We start from the raw sequence: 24,294 nt of genomic DNA on the forward strand, positions 1-24,294 counted from the left end.
AAAGAAGAAGAAGAAAGAAGAAAGAAGGGGAATGGGGAAGGGGAAGGAGAAGAAAAGAAAAGAAAGAAAAGGAGAGGAGAGGAGAGGAGAGGAGAGGAGAGGAAAGGAAAGGAAAGGAAAGGAAAAAGAAAAGAAAAGAAACAAAAGAAAAAGAAAAGAAAAGAAATGAAATGGCTGGCAGCAGCCACCGTAGGAAATACAGCCCAGAGGTCTAGGAGTAACCACTGAATAAAAGCTTACTAGTTTGAGTCCATCTTAGGCCAGTGAAGACATTGGGCCGAGAAGTTTCCAGTGCTTGGATGACAGAGAAGAACTGGTGACTAAGACTTCAGTGGGTGGTAATAATCTGGATGAATAGAACACAGACTATGTTTTCAAAACATGTTGAGGTTAAAGAAAGAATAGAGAAATGGAAATTGCCTGAGGAGAACAAGGTCAAAATAAGGGCTCCTTTAGTTTTTAAAAGACAGGCCACACCACTAGGCACATTCATAGACTGAAGAGAAGGTTTTGGTTAAGATGAAGATAATGAAAGATCAAGCAGGAGAGGGAGATAACCTAGGTGACAAAGCCTCAGAGAAGTCAGGGTAGAGAGGGATCCAGAAAACGAGGGGTCTTGGAGCCTTGCGGAGTGGGAGGTCTTCTTGCTCCTCTGGGATGCGTGAGCACAGCATGCAACACTTGTCTGCAACTGTGAGACAGGAGCAACGGACAGAATTAAAGGGAAAAAGAGAGTAGAAGGATTCATGCCTGGATTCTTCAAGATTTTAAAAAAGCAAGATGAATAAATGGTCCTCTACCAAAGTGAGGGTGAGGGTAAGTTTTGAAGAGACTGGAAAAGTTTGGAATAGATCCCATAAGAAATGTGACTATGAGCCCACTAGAAAAGCAATGATGACTCTCCTCAGATTAACAGTAAGAATTTACATCAGGACCCATCAGTTGGGTTTGGGGGCCTCTAAGCAGCTGTGCAGGTGATGGGGATCATGCAGGATTGGTGCCTGGAAAGGAATGCATGGCACTAAGCTATTGGGCATGCACAGTTAAACTTTCAAGCCATGAGGTCTAGGCTGGTTAGGGGGCAGGAATACGGAGCCTGAAGAAAGTGGCTATAGTGACCAAGAGTGGGGGATGAGTCAGGGCTCACAATAAGGAGACAACTGAGTTCTGAGGAAGAGAGGGAAAGCAAGGGGGTCAGGAGGCTATGCCCAGAGAGAACTACAGAGTCTGAGATTTTAAGATTTAGAAAGGTCCAAGTTGGGGGGTGTGAGGGTTCAAGTTGATACACAGGTCCGGGGTGTGGCAGTATCTCTGGGAAGCTGAAATGAAGGAAAGGTGAAGTCTTAAGGTGAGGAGATGAAGCAACTGCAGGGCAGAGAGAAGGGTCAGGTTAAACTTAACACCGGTCCATGACGCCGCTGCACTCAGACACAGAGGAAGTATTTCATCATCTTTTTGTCAACGGGGAACACAAATGCCCGCTCCAGGTCCAAGGGCTTAGGACGGAGCATCTGATTTATATTCCTTACTTTTTAGGATACAATTGGGAGAAGCTCACGAATAGAAAGAGAATTCTCTAAGATTTCAACAGGTGTATGATCTGGGATCATATCATGAGGGAGTCAACAGACAGCATGGACCTTGCTGAGTAAACAGGATGTGGGTCCAAATCCCAGCTCTTCTACCTTTTCAGCTGAATGACCTCCAGGCTTAGCAGCCTCTCTAAACCTCAGCCCCCGTCTATAAAGTGAGAAACATTGTAACACATACATGATGCTTAGCAGAGCGCCTGGGCATTCATACTTAGCAAAAGTTGGTTGATATTCTTACCCTTCTACAACTATGTTCTCAAGAAAAATCATTTTTGGGAGAGTGAGATAGGTAAGAAGAGAGAGGAGGCCATCGTGAAGCGAACAAATGTGTAAAATGAAAAAAAAATCACTTACAATCTTAATTTGTAACTACCTAAAAGTAGGCTGCACAGAGAAATGAAACTATGTCTACACAAAAACTTGGAAAGGAATGTTCATAGCAGCACTGTTCATAATAGTGAAAGAGTGGAGACAACCCAAATGTCCATCAACTGATAAATGAATAAACAAAATAAGGTATAGCCATACAATGTTACATTATTCCATCATAACAAGAAATGAATGACTGATGTATGCTGAAATGTGGATGATCCTTGAAAGCATTATGCTAAGTGAAAGAAGTCAGTCACAGAAGTCCGCATATTGCATGATTCTATTTATATGGAATGTCTAGAACAAGCAAATCTATATATAGAGAAACAGCTTCGTGGTTGCCAGGAGCTGAGGGTAGAGGATTGGGGGAAAATGGGAAGTGATTGCTGATGGGTATGGGATTTCCTTTAGGGGTGATGAAAATGTTCTAAAATTTATTGTGGTGATAGCTGCACAGCTCTGTAAATACACTAAAAAGCAATTCATTGCACTTTTTTTTTTAATTTAAATAAGCTATGCAGTCCTCAATGCCTCCTGCTCCCCATCTCCTGAATAAACAAGACTTTCTTCCCTGGGTGAGGGTCTTGATAGGTAGAATACTGTACACGGAATACAGAATTCAAGCAGTTCCTTGACTTATGAATATCAGAAGATGTCCATCCTCTTTCTCAGGAGACATTTCCAGGTGGATGCCAGAGGAGGTTATTTCTCTTCTTCCCATCTGCTTCTTTAAATCTTAGCTCCTGCATTCTGTTTCCCCATATGAGCATAGTGGTTAAAAATCAATCTCTGCTTTATCTTCACAGGCGAAAGCTTTAAAGTGGACAGGTCTTTCATACCTAGTTTGAAGTTTATGAAAAAGAATAAGGGGGCTACTCTGGAGTACTGTGAGTTTTTTCTGCTTCTCCACACCATAAGGACAGGGTCCCTGTAAGCAATTGTCCTCCAAACCAATCCACCTAATAGGCCACATCATTTTGTTTAGGGAAGAAACTGCAAAAAGAGATTACTGAAAAATCATTCCCCATAATCTATTTATTTGATGTTTGATTTATCTGATAAACATGCCAAAATATTGCCTAAAAAGTAATCTCTAACATCATATTATTACTTCCAGGAAATCAACCTTCTCCATAAAAATCAACAGTGTTTTTAAAGGAACGTTGAGGTTAAAAAAATCAGAATGACAATTTATTCATTTGCAAAAATAACAATAATCATAGTAATAATAATAATTTCCACATGAACCAGAAGGTCTCTGGGTAATGCTGGCTTTTAACCACAAACACACACATGCACACCAACAGAAACTGCCTTTGCTATTTGAACATTCCAGGAATCAAATGAAAACATTGCTCAAAAAATTTCCAGGTAAACCATGTTAATATCTAGGGTTAATAAAGTCTCTTTAAATGTTAATAAAGTCTCTCCATAAAATGTTCAGCCCTGAAGACACAGAACAAATGATAAAACATCATGTTTTATAACAGGTTACTATGGTCAATGGAGTATCAGCTATAAAATATAAACTTCTACTGAGGAAAGCACATCCGGCAAGTGTAAAATAGCCCACTGGGTCCAATTTCCATGAAGAGGTGCCAGCTCCATTTGGTATGTACAATCTACAAATGAATCCAAGCACTATCAGAACTGTTAACTGCATGACTCTGGATGGTAGGGGGAGGGAAGGGTCTCAAAAAAGAGAGAAAAAGGATTTTTCAGGATACTGGAAATTGAGAGCAGATTATAAAAGATTTACGTTGAATAACAAGAATAAAGCTTTCATGTATCTCTATGTGAAAAAAATAGCCTAGAAATCTGTAAACTCCAACTTGTCATAAAACATAAATCCGTGACACTTAATGACTTATAATCTACAATTAACATTTCATGTTTTTGCATCCAGATATAAGAAATACAATGCCCTATTCTGTTTTTGCTTGGGTGAGGCTAAAAAACTCAGTACCACCATGTTTTTTGTAGGGTCAAAGAGACGGCTAAGAGATCCCCTTAATTAATAATTTTTGTTGGCATTTTACAACTCTGGATTCCCCCAAACTCCTGCAGCATTGGTGTAACTTCTAGCTACTCTCATAACATTGCTGTAATCTCAAACTCCTGGGCTCAAGCGATCCTCCCGCCTCAGCCTCCAGAGTAGCTGGACTATAAGCACATCTCACCATGCCTGGCCAATTAAAAAACAAACAAACAAACAAACAAACAGGCTGGGCGCGGTGGCTCACGACTGTAATCCCAGCACTTTGGGAGGCCACGGCGGGCGGATCACGAGGTCAGGAGATCAAGACCATCCTGGCGAACACTGTGAAACCCCGTCTCTACTAAAAATACAAAAAAAAATTAGCCGGGCATGGTGGTGGGTTCCTGTAATCTCAGCTACTCGGGAGGCTGAGGCAGGAGAATCGCTTGAATCTGGGAGGCAAAGGTTGCAGTGAGCCGAGATCACACCACTGCACTCCAGCCTGGGCAACAGAGTGAGACTCCGTCTCAAAAACAACAACAACAACAACAACAACAAAAACATTTTGTAGAGGTGGGTCCTCACTGTGTTGCCTAGGCTAGTCTCAAACTCCTGGCATCGTAAGTTGTCTTTCATATGCTTTGGCATTCAATGCTCAGTAACAACCTGAGCATATTTAATTATAATGCCTCACCTTTAAATAGTACTCTACAGTTCATAAAGTGCTTTCTTTCACACTGATGTAGCCTTCCTTGTATTAAATCACAGCTTTGCAGTTCAATTTTTGCAAAACCCTTTCAAAGGTACTTGTCAATTAATGAAGATTAAACATAAAGGTGATCTGGAATCTATGAGGACAATCTGGGGGGATATGACTGCCAACTGAAGATGGCAGAAAAAACATGCCATTGAAATTATTCTCACAGTTTTGACAGTAGAGAAAAACCATCAAAAGATACCACAAAATGCATAAAATTAAAGGGAAATGTTTCTTGCATGGGCTGCAGTACTGTTTTAAACAGAAGGGAAAGACCATTAAACATGACTGGTATTCACTAAATTTTAACTACACTGGCATCAAAGTCTGAGCCTGTGAGTGCAAGTCAGAATAACTTGCGCTTATTCTGAAATAAATGTTTCTTTCCACTGCAAGGGTGCATGTGTGAGGGGGGAACAAAGTATTCTTTTTAATATGGAAGCACATCACCCTGACAATCTAACTCTGACAAGCTTGCATAGTCCTAGGCATTCTATTTCTACCTCCTAACAGAACAGCATCAGCAACATTTGTGATCATATTCTGTCAGCTGCTCTGCTAACAATGAGAAATTTTTACTTGTATATGGATAGTAAGTTCCCTGAGAAGGCATATCTCCAGGACCAGTGTTCCGCCTTTTTACTTTACAATCTAATGTCAGCAAGAGTATTTTTGTGCACACATTACCCATGCACACAGCTTAGAAATAAACAAGGTGTGTAAACTGCAAATTGGTTCCACAGAGCAAATAACTGATTCACCAGATATCTGTAAAAGCAAATATAAAATCCATGAATTATGTCTCTGTATTGAAAAACCATAAAATGCTCAGGACCTTTATGTTAACTAAAGTATTTTCCTTCCATGTGTTAGATTTTCCCCTTATATGTGTAGAACACACACACAAAAGAGAATTATAAACGTCAGAGCTCTTTTAACCTTTAAAAACCAACACAGTAATTATATTGCAAAGATATCTGACAACCCAGAGTAATACTAGAAAAGGATTATTTCTGCGCCCCCTTCTTTTAAATAGTTCTCAATTTTTCTACAATTTATAGGCGGACTGTGCAAAAGATTTTCATAGCCATGAATCCTATTAAAGATACATTGGGAGATAAAATAAAATCACTATTCCAATTCGCAAGAATATTTGAAACGCTGCCAAAGGGAATGTTTCTCCAAACATAAAGAGAGTATTAAATTTTAAGAGAGAGGCTATCATCAAAACGAAGGCAGAGAGAAGTACACATAAGTCAACCTGACAAGCCCATATTGATAAAGCAGAGATAAAAGTTATCTCCAGGTTACATGCCCGGTACAGGCAGTTCTCAATGTATGAATGAGTTGTATACAGAAAGTTCATTTGTAAGTCATTTATTTGAAACTCCAAACACATTTTCTCAGAGAAACAGTGTTATAAATAGTGCTTAGTTTTGCAGGAAGGCAAAAAGAGCTATAGAGCTTATAATATAGACAAACTCTAGTACCATGAGCAGGGGACAGGAGGTGAAGAAATCATGAGGAGGTGGGTGACTTACAAATGAACTTTCTTTTTCGGTACCTGGAAACAACCAAAGTTTTTTTTTTCTGGCATCTGTCTGCCTCTCCTATACTTCTCCCACTGTCTAAATGCTTCATCCCAGCCCATATAAGAGAGCACCAAAAAAATTTAATATAGTTAACCCTTTTTCCCAAACTCCCCTTCCCAAGTCCAGTTATCTGGCAATCAAAGGCTAATAAAGAGTTCAGTTCAGTAAAGACTTGTTTCTAGGTTTTGACAGCAGATCTAATCTTGAGAGAGAGGAATGGGGACATGACCAAGCTCTGGGTATACACACAAAGAATGAACCATCTGGGAGGACTGGATAATTTCAGGAATTTCCCCGTAATTTAGTAATGGTAAACAAGAACAGGACCCAGCTCCTAAGAAGTGCAGATGAATGAAGTAAAGTAGAAGCAGGTTCCTGACCAACAGGTATAGATCAAAGGCAGGGCTTCTATCCCACACCTGGTTTCTAGCGGCAGTATCTAGAAGGTTCCTTGCCTTTTCATGGGGAGCCACACATGACTGCCTGCTCTTCTTCCCATGAAGATAACATAAGGGACTGTCAGTTCAGACCCGGGTGGTTTAAAAGATGAAGAGTCCTGGCCTGGCGTGGTGGTGGCTCACGCCTGTAATCCCAGCACTTTGGGAGGCCAAGGTGGGCGGATCACCTGAGGTCAGGAGTTCGAGACCAGCCTGACCAACATGGTGAAACCTCGTCTCTGCTAAAAATAAAAAATAAAAAATTTAGCTGGGCATGGTGGTGTGAGCCTTGTAATCCTAGCTACTGGGGAGGCTAAGACAGGAGAATCGCTTGAACCCAGGAGGTGGAGGCTGTAGTGAGCCAAGCTCACACCACTGCACTCCAGCCTGGGCGACAGAGTGAGACTCCGTCTCAGAAAAAAAAAAAAAAAAAACAGTTCCGATTGACTCAGTGGTCTCCTGCTGTTCCTGAGACAGAGATATAATGCCCTGCAAATTACAGGGTACTCATGGCCAAATCTCGGGTGGGGCTGGGATGGGAGTAAAGATGACGTCAGGAAGGTATCCAGTTGTGGCAGAAACTGGTTAGTTGTTGAAAAAACAGTTTCCCTGTACTCCTTGACATACAGGCTGACAATTCTCCACTTTACCTGCAGTTGACTATGTCCACATGACTAAATTCTGGTCAAGGGAACATGGAAGGAAGTGGTATATGCCAATTTCACCAACAAACCTCCCAGGAGACTGCTCACTCTCTCGCTTCCCCACTTCTCTCTTCTGCCAGGTGCAGAAGATCCTTAGGGTCTCCCAACACTGAGGGAATGTCTGAGCCTTGCGATACAAGGACCCTGGGTCAGGGAATCACCACCATACAGACGCCCTCTCCAACTGCAGAACACCCCAAGTTATCCGTAACACCATCAAAAAGGAACTTCTACTGTGTTCCACCCTGAAGAGTTGGGGTTGCTTGTTATTGCAACATCCTTGCCCATTGTACCATCATCTCTTTGTTGCATCTCAGGAAATGTCCTTTACATTCACCTGCCCTGGACAATCCACTAGGTTTGTTTGTCCTCAAACGAAATGGCCTCACACCGCTGAGATTTTATAATACTTCAAGTTTTTATAGGTTTTCTCCTTCCTTCACTGTGGTTAGTAAGTTTAACCCAAGAAAGCCCTCTTATTCCTTCTAATCTATTTGGGAAACTGAAGAAGTGAATGTGTTGAATCACTAATCTTACTTTGAGTGTCCTTGTGAGTCAACAGGGCTCTGGGTTCACCAGGGCTTCATCTATAAGTATAATTCAGAATTTTTTTATTGGTCATTTTTCTCCTTCCCAAGAAGGTTTTTCCTATCATTTCCAGGTTTCAAGTAGGACCCACGTAGATTAGGGTCACAGAAATATGTATTCTGCCTAAGATAACTAGGATCATATCACTTTTATAACTAAATCCATGGAAGTGGCACCAAGTGAACTTTGTTGAAAACAGCTTGCTCACTTCATTCATTCACTATTCATTTATTCAGTTTACCTTTAATGGAAGAGGGGAGAAGAGACTGAAGAAAGACAGATGAAAGTGAAGAAGAGAAATAAGTTGTAACCATTCCCCACGCCTAACTCTCTATATATTCCCCTTATTTTATTCATAAGTTGTTAGAGGGTACAATAAAAACTAAGTTAAGATGTAATTTGAAATGGAGTCTGTCTAATCCAAAACCCTAGCTTTCTACCCTTGCTCCTTGCACAGCGATTTTCTGGAGCTGTCCACCCTCATCACTTTGTTGCATCTCTAGAAAGATCCAGGGATTAAATAATTATGTGCTTCCTGTGTGGTGGCCTAAGAATTAAGAGAAGTGACCTGTTTGATGCCTGTGTGCACCCTCTCTTTGACAAAGCATGGCCTGATTTCCCAATCCTTATGGAGCTCTGTTGAGGGTTACACAGCAAGGATTCTGCCTGCCTTTACCTTGCAATTGCTATGAGAATAAATTCAAAATGGTTCCCGAGTTCAGCATGTGACTCCCACTTCTGCTGCTAAAAAAACAAGACAGCTATTGTATTGAATGCACTCTACTCATCAGGCACTCTGAGAATGAAGGTGACCTGGCTGGTATATATGGGTCTGTGGAAAGACAAAGTATTTTTACATAGAACCATTGACTACCATTACAATTTTGAAATATGTTCCCTATAAAAAAAATACTGAAGTCAATACATTAGTTTAAAAGGACATAAAAAGAGTCTTTATTCTGCCAATGTGAACATATGTGCTTCCACAGCAAGCCCATAAAGGGAATCTAGAGGCTACTTCATGGAGTATTCTGCCATTTCCAATGTCCGCTCTACAAAAGATGTCATTCTTTTATACATTATTTTCTTTTATTTTATTTTTCTAGAGACAGGGTCTCACTTTGCCACCCAGACTGGTGTGCAGTGGTGCAATCATAGCTCACTGTAACCTTGAACTCCTGGGCTCAAGCAATCCTCCCACCTCAGCCTCCTGAGCAGCTAGGACTACAGACTCACAACATTACACTCAGCTAATTAAAAAAAAAAAACTTAAAGAGACAAAGACTTGTTCTGTCACCCAGGCTGGAGTGTAGTGGTGCGATCACAGCTCACTGCAGCCTCAAACTCCTAGACTCAAGTGATCCTCCTACATAAGCCTCCCAAGTAGCTAGGACTACAGGCTCATGCCACCATGCTCAGCTAAGTTTTAAATTTTTTTTGTAGAGATAGGGTCTCACTACGCTGTCCAGGCTGGTCTCAAACTCGTGGCTTCAAGTGATCCTTCCACCTCAGCCCCCCAAAGTGCTGGGATTGCAGGGGTGAGCCATCACGTTCAGCCTCTTTCTAAATTCTACAAAAAAACATGCATTCATATTATATCGTGCAATGCTATGTAAGTCATGTTTTAGATATGCCATGGCCGGTTCCTATTCCATGGGGAGTTCTCAGCATCATAAAGGTATTTGAAGTTTAAGTCTACATGTTGTAAAGGTGATGCTCAATGCTCAATTCTCAGACTAGAACCAGAACTTCCACAATTTCATATTTTTAAGAATATCAAGCAACTTCCACTTACAATTAACTATAAAAAGGGTTAATTTTCTCCTCAGTTGCCTATTGTCAATAAAATGTTTACTTGGCCTAATGACCGACTGATACCAAAAAAGGTATAAGGACTCAACTGTTAAGAAACAATGATGTATAATGTTGACTGAGAAAGGGACGGAGATCTTCGAAGACCTTCAAAACATAAATCTGATTACTGCCACCCATAATCAAATGTGTATGTCTAAGTCTTCCACAGGTGAATACACCTACGGTTCTGCCCCTGAACCGCAAGGCCATACCTCCCCAAGACTGACTCTGTGAGGGCTAACAGGCTATAATTGCTGACAGGGAGGTTTTCAGCTTGTCATAGAGATAAAAAAATATGGTTATTCTTGAGTAATAAGTGGAAATTCGTGAAATAAGTGATGAAAACAAGGGTATAAAGGCTACAGAAACCCTTTCCTACCCAACACAGAGTGAGACACAAGCCCAAGAGAAAACAAAAAGAACACAGCAAAGCCAGCCAGAGCATGACTTCAGGGTGTGCTCACTAGGTGATATTATCTACGTTGAAAAGACATGGTACCTGAAGATCAAGAGTTTGAGGTTTAAGCATGCATACACTTTTTCTGTTTTTTCTTCTATAAAGTTCAGTATACTTTTATGGCATTTTAACTTTCAGTTTTGGTACCTTGGGAACACAGCATCCTCTATCTTGGCAGAGTTAAGTGGGGCATGAATGGCCTTTTCCTAAGTAGAATGGTGATTTAACAGAGTTTTTATGAGTATGGTCCAACAGTAGACCTGACATTTTTATCAAGAGGACAGAAGTGTCAGTTTGAAAGATCTTCTAACACTGTTCATGGCTACTGCTAGGAACAGAGTAGGGCAATCTTTCCCTTCTTTTTATGTGGAGGGCAGGGACTCCTTAAGTAGGCTGACCTGGCCATTCATTCAGTCTAGCCTAAGCCACAGGCTTTCTGGCCCACATTCCAGCGTAAGCAGATGCTGTGTTGACATTCTTTTTAATCCTCCTTCCTCACCTAGAATACATTATTCCTCGATGTAGGCATGCAAATATCTGCTGAATGGATTATTTCAGTTATGGACACCAATAGTACCTGTCCAGTAAATATGACCCAGAAATCATCTTTGACTCCTTCCTCTCCATTCTCCAAATCCAACAATTACTAAGTTATATTATTTTATCCCTTCAAATACCTTTGAATATGTTGCCCCCTTTTCCTTTCCTGCCATCCTCCCAACACCCTCAAACGAATAGGCTCCCATTACCTATCTTTAATTCCTGACTCGCCTGTCCCCTGTTTCTCCCAACTCTGGCCACCCTACATACATTGTCACCGGTTTCAGATATATACACACAAACTCACTGAGCCCCTTCCATAAACAAGAACTGGGAACTCTGTGTCACCTCCTGCATTAACTTCACATTCCTCCGCCAGGTCTTAGTGATCCTTTAGCTCTGTTATCCCCACAGCTGTCAAATTCTCTTTCATACCAATCTCCAGCAATGCACATATAACTCCGCTGGCCCCTCCAACATATCCCATGCAGGCCATCTGTGTCCCTTCCTCATGCTTTTGTCCCTGCTGCCACTGTGCCTACAATGACCCCTCAGTTTCCTCCACCCATCATCACTACACATCCTGTTAAGGTCCCTGTCAGGCTTTGCTTCTCATAGGAAGCTCTTCCTGAAGACTCCAATCCCCAGCCATTTCTCATTCCTCTTCTGAACCTGACACTGGCACCCCATTACAAATTCTCAGTTGTCTGTTGTCATGGATTGCTCTATAATTGCTTCCTGTGGATTGGTATTGTGCCCTGAACTAGATTTTTTGTTTTGTTTTGTTTTTTGATGGAGTCTCACTCTGTCACCCAGGCTGGAGTGCAGTGGCCGGATCTCAGCTCACTGCAACCTCTGCCTTCCAGGTTCAAGCAATTCTCTTGCCTCAGCCTCCCAAGTAGCTGGGATTACAGGTACACACCACCATGCCTAGCTAATTTTTGTATTATTTATTTATTTATTTATTTGAGACGGAGTCTCGCTCTGTCGCCCAGGCTGGCATGCAGTGGCGCGATCTCGGCTCACTGCAACCTCTGCCTCCGGGGTTCAAGTGCTTCTCCTGCCTCAGCCTCTTGAGTAGCTGGGATTACAGGCATGCGCCACCATGCCCAGCTAATTTTATTTGTATTTTTAGTAGAAACGGGGTTTCTCCATGTTGCTCAGGGTGGTCTCGAACTCCCGACCTCAGGTGATCCGCCCGCCTCGGCCTCCCAAAGTGTTGGGATTACAGGCATGAGCCACCGCACCCGGCCTAATTTTTGTATTTTCAGTAGAGATGGGGTTTCACCATGTTGGCCAGTCTGGTCTCGATCTCCTGACCTCAAGTGATCTGCCCACCTCGGCCTACCTAAGTGTCAACTAGGTTTTTTTGAAGATAATTTTAGATTTACAGAAAGCGGCAAAAATAGTACAGAGCTCCCTTGTACCTTCCACCCAGTTTCCCCCTATATTAACAGCTTACAAAGCCATAGAACCACGATCAAAACTAGAAAGTTAACCTGGGTCACGACTACTCAACAAACCGTAGGGTGTATTAGGATTTCACCAGTTTTTGCACCAAACAGGCTTTTTTTTTTTTTTTCCTGTTTCAGGATCATACTTAGAATTTTATGTGGTCATATTTCTTAGTTTCTGCTAATCTGTGACAGTTCCTGAATCCTTCCTTATCCTTAAAGACCTTGACAATTTTAAGGGGAGGGGTCAGTTATTTTTTCGAATGTCCTTCCATTTGAGTTTGCTATTTTTTTCTTGATTAGAGTGAGATTATGCCTTTTCAGGGAGGATATCAGAGATGACACGCCCTTCTCAGTGGGACACACGATGTCAATATGTATCACTGGTGACATTAACCTTGATCACTCAGTTAAGGTGATGTCTGCCAGGATTCTTCACCGTAAACTTTTATTTTTCTCCTTGTAATTACTAAATGTTTGGGGTAGGGATATTTTAAAATTCTACGAATTTCCTGTTTCTGCATATACTTTTGCCCGCTCATTCTAATCCATCTAATCCACATCTGCCCATCTAATGCATCCATCGGTGGGACTTTCTCGTGGCAATTCTTACTATGAGTTCTAATGATGTTTTCATACTGCTTCCTTCCTCGTTTGTTTATTAACTGAAATTCTGCTGCAGGGAAGAGTCATTCCTTTTCCCTTATTTATTTATTCATTGGACTCGTTGGATATTTTATTCTTTGGGTTATAATCCAGCATTTATTTCCTTACCCAGTTATTCTAAGCTGTAGCTAGATATTCTACCATTTCAGAGCAGACACAGCCACATTGTGTCCTGTGTTACAGGTTGTCCCTCATGTCTTAAGACAAGAACAGGCACACAGCGGGTATTCAGCTCATCTGTTCATTCATTTGACAGGTTATCTTGAGGGCCTTGTGTTAGGTGTTAGAGTTACAAGAAATAAAACAATTCCTCTGTCCGAGTGGTTTACAGCCTAGTTAGAAGAGACCTACAGGCACATTTGCAAGTCCTTATTAAAAGTATTAGGCAAGTACAGCAATGGCCCAGAAGAAAACATAGTCAACTCTACCTGGAGAAAAAGGGGTGTGGCAATTGGTAGGCAGGAAAGACTTCCTTAAGACCAAGCAGCATCCTGCTTCCCTTCTATTGTACTGCTTGCTCTATAAAAATCAATGGGCATATAAAATTTCTAGAGACACACGCCATCACACAGTTAGCAGGTACTCCAAGCCCCTGAATCTTCTAAACTAATTCCCCACATCAAACCTCAAGGGCACACTATTTAGGAAGATTTAATGCAATAAACTCAGACTCTTTATATAGTGACTATGTGCTTTTCTAGGAAAATTGGAAACAGCTAAGGTAAAAAAAAAAAAATCTGAAAAGTCATTTGTCTTAATCCAGTCTTCAAATCCAATTTCATCGTTTTTATTCCTTCACAGGGAATAATGAAGAGCAAATAAGGAATATCATCAGAGAAAGATGGACTCCCTAAGTCTCTTTACTTAATTCAATTTTCTTGTACTGCTCTTACAGTATTTTCCAAACAAAGCTGTTCTTTTCTACATATGATAGTTCAGCCCAGCAAATGTCCTCAGGAATAATAAACAAACAGTGGGGGCATATTTTCTGCCACAAATTACACTCTGCAACATTCTTCATCCAAAGCATTTTCAATTCCAAGCAAGCAAAGACACAAGGAAAATACACTGCCTTATTACAAGAACTGCACACAATAGAGAATCTGTATTCAGACACTTATTGACACTTAAACCTGTTAATATGTAACTCCTACTATTGTTCTAAAGGATGAATAAGCAAATTCTCCTGCACATATAATGTTACATCATGCACTTTAATTACAATAGTAAATACTGCCGAAAGGAATTTTACTTTCACTGTTTCATATCACCTTTTCTAATTAATGTCAATGTGTCTTTTCCATGTAAGAGAGCATACAGCAGAGGCACATATGTGTTGTGTCTTTGTGTATCTGCCCAAATGTACACATATTCATGAATGCACATACAAATAAGCTCTTATGCACACAGAGTAACCCCCATGTTAGCATGCATTTATAAATACAGCTGGCCCCACCCCGAGCATGCATGGAGTATACACAAACAGCATAAAGGCCAGTTGACTTCCTTTTGCTTTTATAGGAGATTGACATAAAAAGCTAAAAAAAGACAAGTAGACACTTCATGGAGCCTGTGATTAAGAGAGAAGCTAATGAGACAGATGGGCTGATGCATAAAGGGAACTTCAGCACACCAGCCCACACTCAGTAAAGATTTACCGTGCTTCACTGTCTCCGTTTCAGTCTTCATCATGTGGCATGCTACTTACATTACTCTTGTCCCCAGACCACAGACACACCCCGCTTTTCTCTGCCCAGACCTCCCTAAATTAGGATTATCAAATGACACAAGATAGCAGTCTTCTGCTTTAATGTTGTTATTCAAGGTTTACTCACAGGCAATATTTACTATAAAATCTTGTGGTTTGGCCGGGCACGGTGGCTCATGCCTGCAATCCCAGCCCTTTGGGAGGCCGAGGAGGGTGGATCACCTGAGGCCAGGAGTTCGAGACCAGCCTAGCCAACATAGTGAAACCCCATCTCTACTAAAAATACAAAAATTAGCCAGGTGCAGTGGCGCACACCTGTAGTCCCAGCTACTTGGGAAGCTGAGGCAAAAGGATTGCTTGAACCTGGGAGGCAGAGGTTGCAGTGAGCCGAGATCGTGCCATTGCACTCCAGCTTGGGCAACAGAGCAAGACTCTGTCTCAAAAAAAAAAAAAAAAAAGGAAAAAAAATCATGTGGTTTACCGCTTAACAGAGAGTGGACAATTCTGTTACAGGGCTTACCAGAATATTTTTGGAAAAATTCTGTAAACATAGAAGAATTTCTGAGCCAGAAAAATGAGAAGCAGAAAAAATAATTCATATGAATTTTTAAATTTTTATACAATAGATTTTGCCTCTGATATGACTGCTTCTCTAAGCTATTTCCACATGTGATTACTGTCTCTGAGAGCTCACTCCATGCCATAAGAAATTGCAGAGTTATAGAAATAGCATATGTAGAGGGCTCTACAATTTACAAAACATTTTCAATGCATTATCTCATTTGATCATCACAATACCCCTGTGAGACAGATATTATAATTATTTCTATTTTATAGAGATGCGGAAAAAACCCTCAGATTTTGAGTGATTTCCCTAAGGTCACAAAGCTGATAAGTTGCAGAACTGAGATTCAAAACTAGAATTTCTGATATTGTATTTCATTTTCTCCCACTACATTAATTTTATTACATTTTTCTTGAATTCATTTTTGGTTCTATTTTATAATAGTAGACTCTATAAATTCTGCTCATTACATAAACATTTTATGTGCTTCTAAATGAAACTGACTCTTTAATCTCTAAATTTTTTGGTAACGTTCTATTTTCTGGTTAAACTAAAATGCCCAGGTTCCCTTATCATCTGCTTTCTTTATTCCCTGGAATCTTCCTTTTGAGAGATATGATGTTCCATTATCTGAGGATCTGAGGATTTCTAACTATGTTGACAAATCTTCCTTTTGCTTTTTAAAAACTGTTGCTGCACATATTGCTGAGTAGCTTTCAAATTTATCCACTACGACTTCCACGCTCATATCCTAATATTTATCACAATGGCTACCCCATTCCAGAAAATCTGAAGAGTTCTACATTTGTACTCAACCACATCTACTTCTCGAATCTTCTTTCTCTGTCACTGTTATTCCCAAGATCCTGGAATTAAACAGAAGAGTTTTCCTTTCTGGTCAGTCAGTTCATCCTTCCAGAGCCAGCCCAAAGGGTGCTTTAACATCACTCCTTCTCAGCTGAGTACTTTCTGATGTTATAACATGCTTACCTACAACACTATCTTATGCAGGGGGCAAAAGGAAGAGGTAGCTTTAAAAAGACAGATCCATTTATGTGCCAGCACAGCCTGATAACTAGAGTAGCAGGAAAAAGAGAAAAAAAAAAAAATCACAAGACGATAGATCAATGGGACATTAGATAAGCCCCCCTTTTTGGGGTGTGTGTAGGGGATTCTTGACTGTGGTCACTATATTCCAGCAGTGACACAAGTTAGAGCTTCTGGGGCTGAAGTCCGCATTGTCTAAACAGGACAGTCAGACTTTGGGGCAAACCATCCTCCCATCTTATTGCCCAATTCCACTTTCCCTGCTGTTTTAATGGGATTATTTTGGAATCTGCTATTTCTGTCTCACTCCTTTTCCCCAAACTGTCATATAAGTACTGCAGCTTGACTACTTCCCAGCTGCCAAATTTCACTCCAGAGATGGCTGTATTTCAGTGGCAAGTGAAGTGATGATCCCTCTGTGTCATCGAAATACTCATTTAAGGGGTTAAGCATCTGGAAGAGGGTTGCCTTTGTGCATGAACAGAGTGTTTTTGTTTTGGTTTGTTTTATTGTCTATCCTGGAGAAGGAGGTCATTAGCTCCACCTGAGCAAGATGGAAGACACACACCAAAAAACACTCTATGCAGCCACTAAAATGCACGGGGAAAACAGAAACAGTGACCGCTTTTCATAGGTTCTTTTCCACAGGGACTTCAAAGTCTTAAAGCATCAAGGTTGCAAAATGATGGTAATTTTTAGAGGTGGAAGAAACCTCTGAGAGCAAACCACTCATGTTACAGATGGAGAACTTGGAAGCACAGGGTCACTGAGTACCTTGGTCAAAGCCCCCCCCCCCCACCCGCCGATTCATTCCCAAGTCCAAGGGCGTTTCACTTGAATTTTGAATTTGGCTTTATCTGCAGACACACTCAGAGTATCACATCTCCGTCAGTCAAGTCAAGCACAGACCCAGCTTCTAAAGCACACGGCATCAGCACTGAATTCTTGTTTTGTTTGGCTATGTTTATTTGTTTAGGTACTCAGGAAAATCTCCACCAGGAAAAAATACAGGGTGTTGAACAGAGGGGGAACAGAACACAGTAGATACAGTAGCAAGAAATGTTTATTGAGCATTGACTATGTGCCAGGCCAGGCAATGTTCTCAGGTTTATATGTATACAATTCTGACAGTGGCTCTGTGGCTCCCATTTTAGAGAGAGAGAGAGAGAGAAGAATGATTATTTTGGAAGAGAAAACAAGAGGGACAGCATATAATTGCCAACTCAAAAAAAAACTACCTTCCCAAATTTTACTAAAACATTCAGCAAAAATCTAAAAAATTACCAGTGATATACTTCTCACTTATTCTGAAGAGATGATCCTTCTTAATACTTTTGGCATATAGCTGCTTCTTGCTAATAAAAAAAAAGTACTTCCAAGATGTTCTGTATATTATTTCCAAATCTTATAACAGTTGTTTCAACAATCAGTGAATGAATGATTCACTATTTGAACACTGATGAAATGAGAAGCACTAATGATATTCAGGGAGCACAGATCTTGAGTTAGGGAGAAAGGGAACTGGATGTTCATTTTCTCTTCCACCGCTGAATCCTATAATGTCAAAAGCTCTCCTATCTCACATTCCTGAATTTAGAAAACATATTTAAATGCTTCATTTCATTTGATAACCTCTAAGAGAAAAAAATAGTGATTTGAAAAGTACCATAGAATACTGTCATTTTGATAAAGCTGTATGAAAGTTGGATTTCTACCTCGAGTTTTGCCCGCACTTTGAGTAGTATGGTTTGCCAACATTGAAAGCAGCATTAGTGTAGCAGGGGAAGGTCTGTGCAGCAGTCTGCTTTAGGGTAGCAATAAGAAAGACAAAATTGTAAGCTTTGATATCAACCATTTTCTAATGTGTTTTAAGAGTAAACACAGATGATGGAATAGTCTACCTTATTTCATGAGAGTTATTACAACTATGTGAATGTTTCCATACTGACACCAGAAATCATATTATTTATAAAACTTTCAAAGAATAAAATGCTTCATAAAGAAGCCTGGTAAGTTATTTTAAAACTTTAAAGTATCCAAAATAGTTTAAAAGCTACGCCTACATATAAAACACAATATACTCTTGAATCTTTGACCCTACATTTTTTCGCTTTTCCTAAAAAAATCATTAAATGTCTCAAAATAATGCCTTTACCCAAACTGGCTATGAATTATGGAGGCTATCTACAGATTGAAGGAAGGGTGGGAGAAAAGGGAAGGGCATATTTATGCTGAAAGATAAATTTTGGGGAAGTCTGTGTTTTAAATACTTAATATCAGTAGGATTTTCTTAACCTTAGAAATGTACATTTCAACCTTTTTCATTTCATTTTCAACCTTATGATATAGATGTAGTCGAAGGGTTGAGAGGGACTCACAACCCTACAGTTTTTCTTTTTGTGTTTCTGTAGGATAAAGGAAACATTTCCTAAGAGCTGAGGGGCGGGGTGGGTTACATACGGTGCCTGAAGGGGAAAAGACCCCATGTTCGAGAATGCACTGTGTGTGTGTGTGTGTGTGTGTGTGTGTGCGCGCGTGTGTGTGTGTGTGTGTGTGCTGGGTGGGTGTGTGGATGGGGAGTAGGGGATGATATGGGCAACTCAACTGGACATGTTAAAGAAAGAAGAAAACATCTGGGTAGAGTACGTGGTGGATGTTTGAGGGCCCGAAGAGAGCAGCTGACCAGGGAGGGATACAATAGAGAAAAAGGTTCGTCAAAGACAGTAAATCCGAAGCTAAAAATGCAGCCTTTACCAAATGCAGGTCAAGGCCTAAGGAGATAAAAGAAATCTCTGAGCAGAGCCTGTTATTTAAGAGACCACTAAAAGCACCCAGGAATGGAGGGAGGAAGGTAAGAAGAACCACAATCCCACAAACAATGCTGAGTGGAAGGGTACCAAATAGTAAAGAGGTCAAGATGTGACAAATGGAGGGGCTATTATTTAGATCTGGAACCTAAAATCTGTTTAAAGTGAACTAAATAAAGTTAATTATGCATGTGCACAAAAGGTAGGATTAATTATATAATTAATCTCACTCTCTGAGGTGAATTATAGTGGGTAAAGTAAGAAAAAGGATATGGTTAATAAGAGAACAAGGTACACGTGTTCTGGTGCACCTCGATTCTTCCTTTGGGTGGTTAAGAAAAATCACCATACTGTGATAAAGACACGGTGACATCCATCTTTCTAACATGTTTGTAGAGTTATAAAAAGTAAAAGACTCATTTCACAATTTCTTAAGGATATGGATTGTCAATAAGATGCATCATTTACATTACCTAAATTGAGAGATGAGTAGCCCGATGATCTTTACTGGCCCTAGCAACTGTGCATTCGAGGGGTGTTAGACAGTACGCTTCTCTCCTTACCTTCTTCATTTCCTGGCCTGGTCCGGCTGTCAACAATCACAACCTCATTGTCAGTCCCTGACTATTCTCTGGTTCTTTCTGTTCTATGCCTTCCAGATCAACAGGTCTGTCTCCCCTGGTTTCTCCAGTTTCCAATTTCAGATGCACCTCTTGCCTCCTTTTAGAATGGTCCAGTTCATCTCCCCTGTTCCCCCAAACCAGTTATGATGGTGTTGACTGTATCTCCCTGAGAACTGTAAACTCCATTAGGGCCAGTCTTTTGTCAATCTTGTTTTCCTCCATTATCTTCAATGCCCAGCCCTATACTGGGACATAGCTGCCCCTAAAAAGGCCTTTGCTAAATTAATAAATGAGTGAGGAATGACTGAATGGGATTAAAATTAAAGACCTTGTCTCAGTTTCTCACAATTCAAAAGTTGTGCTTTAACTTTGTGCTGGCAAAATCCTAAGACACCCCAAAGTCCCCATGGGACTTTGCGAACTAAGATTTCAACAATGATTCTGCCTGGTCTTGCAGATAGGTCTTGTACATGAATGCAAAAATGGTGTGGGCAACCATGTGCAGTATATGGAAACAACCAAAAACTGCTGACCACAGATCTGAGGTCACAGCACAATTAATATGGTTAAGTATTTCCCACTCTCCTGTCTCCCTAGAGAAATTTATTCTGGTAAGCCCTTGACAACCAACACGTCTGCATTTCTGCACACCAGCCAGTGATCCACAGCAAGAGAATCCTTTCTTCCTCTCTGAGTCTTTATTGATTTTGTAGTTTGGGAGGAAGCTAAGTGCTATTCAAATACCAAATGTTCCATATGGTAGTGTTATTACCATTCCCACTACCGTTACTTGAGGCCTTCTACCTACACTCATGAGGTGCCTCATCAGAATCTGGCAGAACATTATGAACTCTTTTCCTGACCTATATTTGCTAACACATTTGTTGTCCTCTCTCCCTCTATGAACTTATTAATTTTGTTGAAATAATATACATGTGTGTATAAATCCAAGTTTTGTTTTCTTATTCATCCTCATAGTCACAGGGGAATGATTTATGACACATTAAGGAGGTATTCTTAAGCTAACATGTCTTAATTAGGAATTCAGATATTCCTCTTCTGCTGAGAAATACAGAGCTGTTCAAATTAGACCAGAAATTAGGGCCAAAACGAATGCAGCGTCTACATACACAAGCTCATAGCAGGGTAACCAGTGAAAGGCAGAGGCTGAAGCCGTACACGTCGTTCTGTGTTTGTCTCCTTCATGCCAAATGATTCTTTGACCACTTTTCCTTTCACTTTTCAACGTTACGATGGAGCCAAAGGGTCAAGAGATTCACAAACCTACAGCCTTCCCCTTCATGCATCTGTAGGATAAAGCATGCGTTTCCTAAGAGCTGGGTGTGGCGGGGGGGTCTCTTCATCTACCTTCTCTTTCATTTATTTAGTGAAATGAAGCTTATTTAGTAATGACGGGAAGAGATGAGCCAACTAGGGCAGCTCACATATGGTGCCAGACGGTGAGGGACTCTGTGCCCAAGGCACTTGCTGTACCACAGGAGCTAGGCAGCCCTGGCTGGGAAGGAAGCTCTGCTCTCACCCAACGGCTGCTCCAAGGGTGCCCCCAGCCAGGTGATCCAGACAGCCATGGTTTCAAAGCTCTGTGAAAAATGGGTCTCTGACTTGAAAACTTGAATCAGGAAGTCTCTCCAGGACTGGGATTACTCCACTAATACAAATTAAATCCATTCAGAAGTATGCTAAACCCTTTTTGTAGATACTAGAGGAGGATGAAAAGAGGGAGGAAAGAGAGGCAAAGTAATTTTGGAAGATTAGGATTATACTATGGTTCATGCCAATACCCTACATTTGTTTACTTCTATATTGATCATTTTCTCAAATGATTAAATACTCCTGAAATAGGAGTTTTAACGATTTTAAACATTTCATATATATTATTTGCAGCAACACCCAAGGGAGAAGGGTACTATTATTATCCGAATTTTACATGCAAAGTAACTTGCCCAATGTCACACTTCAAGAAAACAGCAGAGCTGGAATTTGAGCCCAGGCAGCCTGAAGCTTGCAATCTTATCTACAGCTTTTCCATCATATGGCACTAACATAGTTATATTTAATCATGTTCCCGATATTGGACATATATATATATATATATATACACACACACACACACACACACACACACATATACACATATATATATATACACACACACATACATATATAGGCACATACATATTTTTAAACTAATGAGCAGTATAACTTCAGATACATATCTAATAAAATTTTTTTATTAAATACCTTTTTGCTCTTTTTAAGAAATGAAAAATTATGCTTTCCACTGAAAAATGATTGTATCTAGTGATTTCATAGTTGTCTAAAAATACTTGGCCAGAAAGGAAGAACTTAAAATTCCCTAGGACCCTTCTACTCCTTCTGGATTTAATATTATTTCTGAAATGTCGAAATCTGGTAAGTTTCAAGGATGCTGCTGTCTAATGGAGGAAGGTTCTACAAAACAGTACAATTTACTTGACTTACAAATGACCCCCCCCACCCCCAAAACCCAAAATACATGGAAACACCATTTTGCATAATCAGTCAGCAAAAAACTCTTTTTGTTTTCAAAATTCTCAGCATTGGAAAACTGTATTAAGTAGACGCTCTCATAAACTGCCTCTGGAAATACAAACTGGTATGACTTTACTGAAAGTAATTTGGCAACAAGTTACCAAAAGCCGTAAAACTTGAAAACTCTTACATTTACCAGTATGCTGCTAAGAAATTAGCCTAAGGAAATAATTTGTAATGGGAACTAATACAGAGCTATAAGAATATTTTTGGCATCATGAAAGCAATAAAATGTCTGGGTGTGGTGGATCACGCCTGTAATCCCAACACTTTGGGAGGCTGAGGTGGGAAGACTGCTTGAGGTCACGAGTTTGAGACCAGCCTGGGCAACATGGCAAAACCTCATCACTATATAAAAAAAAAAAATACAAAAGTTAGCCAGGCATGGTGATGTGCACCTGTAGTCCCAGCTATTAATACTTGGGAGGCTGAGGTGGGAGGATCACTTGAGCCTTGGAGGTGGAAGCTGCAATGAGCCAAAATCATGCCACTGCACTCCAGCCTGGGTGACAGAGTGAGACCCTATCTCAAGAAAATAAAAAGGCAAAAAAATTAGAAACGGCTAACTGTCCAGTTAGAAGGGATATAAATTAAATAAATTTTAGAATGTTTACTCAATGGTATACTAATCATTAATAACTATACGGTAGAAAAATATCTGTTGCTATGAAAGATGTTCAGAATTATATTGTTAAGAGGAACAATACTCTTAATAATCTCTACTACTTCTACAATCTCTACTACCATTTGATGTTTGTCTCTCTAAGTGAATTTATAAATCTATAAATTTATAAATGCCTTCAGAATTATCAGCAATGCCTTGTCATCTATCCTAACTAGTGACCTCAAAATAAGTAGAAGTTATTTCCTTTCCCATAAAAAAGCAAGGGTTCCATTTTTATAAAAGAGACAGTAGGAAAAAATGGAGTCTACATGAATAGACATGTGTATGTTGTGTGTGTATGTTTGTGTGACCAGATATGTATACACCCCCACCACTATCTTGGGGACTTTACAACTCAATGATAATTATTTTCCTTTAAAGCTTTTGGAGATGTTTACCTGTACCATGTGCTTTCATCACAATGGAGAACCATAAGCTATCAGTTCCTTGCAGCAGATCTTTTCACGAAGATTTTGCTTGAGTAGAAAGGGTGGCAGTGGAGAATCTCAGTGTAAAACGCCTAGACCTGTAATTATAAAAACAATATTCTCACTGAGTTAGGCTGCTTCTGTGGTCTTCATTCACATTCGCTGAAGTCACAGAAACGGGAAACATCATATTGCATAATCTCTCACACACACATGCACACACGCAAGCATGCGCACACACACACACACACACACACAAGGTTTTTAAATCAGAATGTCAAAAACTCAGCAGGCAGAGACACAGCAGGTCCCTATCCCCAGGGATGAGTGGGTTCTGGCCAGGGGTTGCTTCCCACCCCATCTCCTCCCCTTGAGGACACCACTATCAAAATAATCCCGTTCCTGCCCCTCCTTCCCTGCTCAATGATTCTAAGATTTCTAAGAAATAACAAGCAGTCAGTTCTTCATAGAAAATGTCAGAAACATTGCTGAATTTGATGCTCTCTTTCTCTAAGACTCCTTCTAGCCACAAAATTATGCAAATTCAGTGCATGTATTTACCATTCCGGCCTCACTTTCACTTTTGAAACTACACATGCCTCTTTGTTAATAACTCAGTTAAGACATGATGTCAGTGATGGCCAAGGTCATCACGAACATTGATTAAACATTTACTATGTTCTGGGCCATGTGCTAAGGGCTTTACACACATTGCCCCACTCCACTGCAGTCTGTGAGGTGGCCAGGAATCATGTTTACCTCTGCATTATTGACAAGAAAACTGACAGTAAATACAGCCAACGGATGTTAAAGCCAGTACTTAAGCCAACAGTTCACAGAGGTCATGCTTAGGATTCTAGTACTATACC

General features: G+C 40.4%; 1 protein-coding gene across 3 annotated transcripts in view; it reads right to left on the bottom strand.

Moving 5' to 3' along the window:
- The window catches only part of ATXN1 (ataxin 1), a 462,349-nt gene that overhangs the window by 263,273 nt on the left and 174,782 nt on the right, over positions 1-24,294 (bottom strand). For all 3 annotated transcript variants that reach the window (NM_001128164.2, NM_001357857.2, NM_000332.4), the window contains one exon: positions 23,396-23,523. The gene's annotated coding sequence lies outside the window, so the exon portion shown is untranslated. The remainder of the gene's footprint in view (positions 1-23,395; positions 23,524-24,294) is intronic.

The sequence above is a fragment of the Homo sapiens genome, chromosome 6, assembly GCF_000001405.40.
Source record: "Homo sapiens chromosome 6, GRCh38.p14 Primary Assembly".
Taxonomy (NCBI): domain Eukaryota; kingdom Metazoa; phylum Chordata; class Mammalia; order Primates; family Hominidae; genus Homo; species Homo sapiens.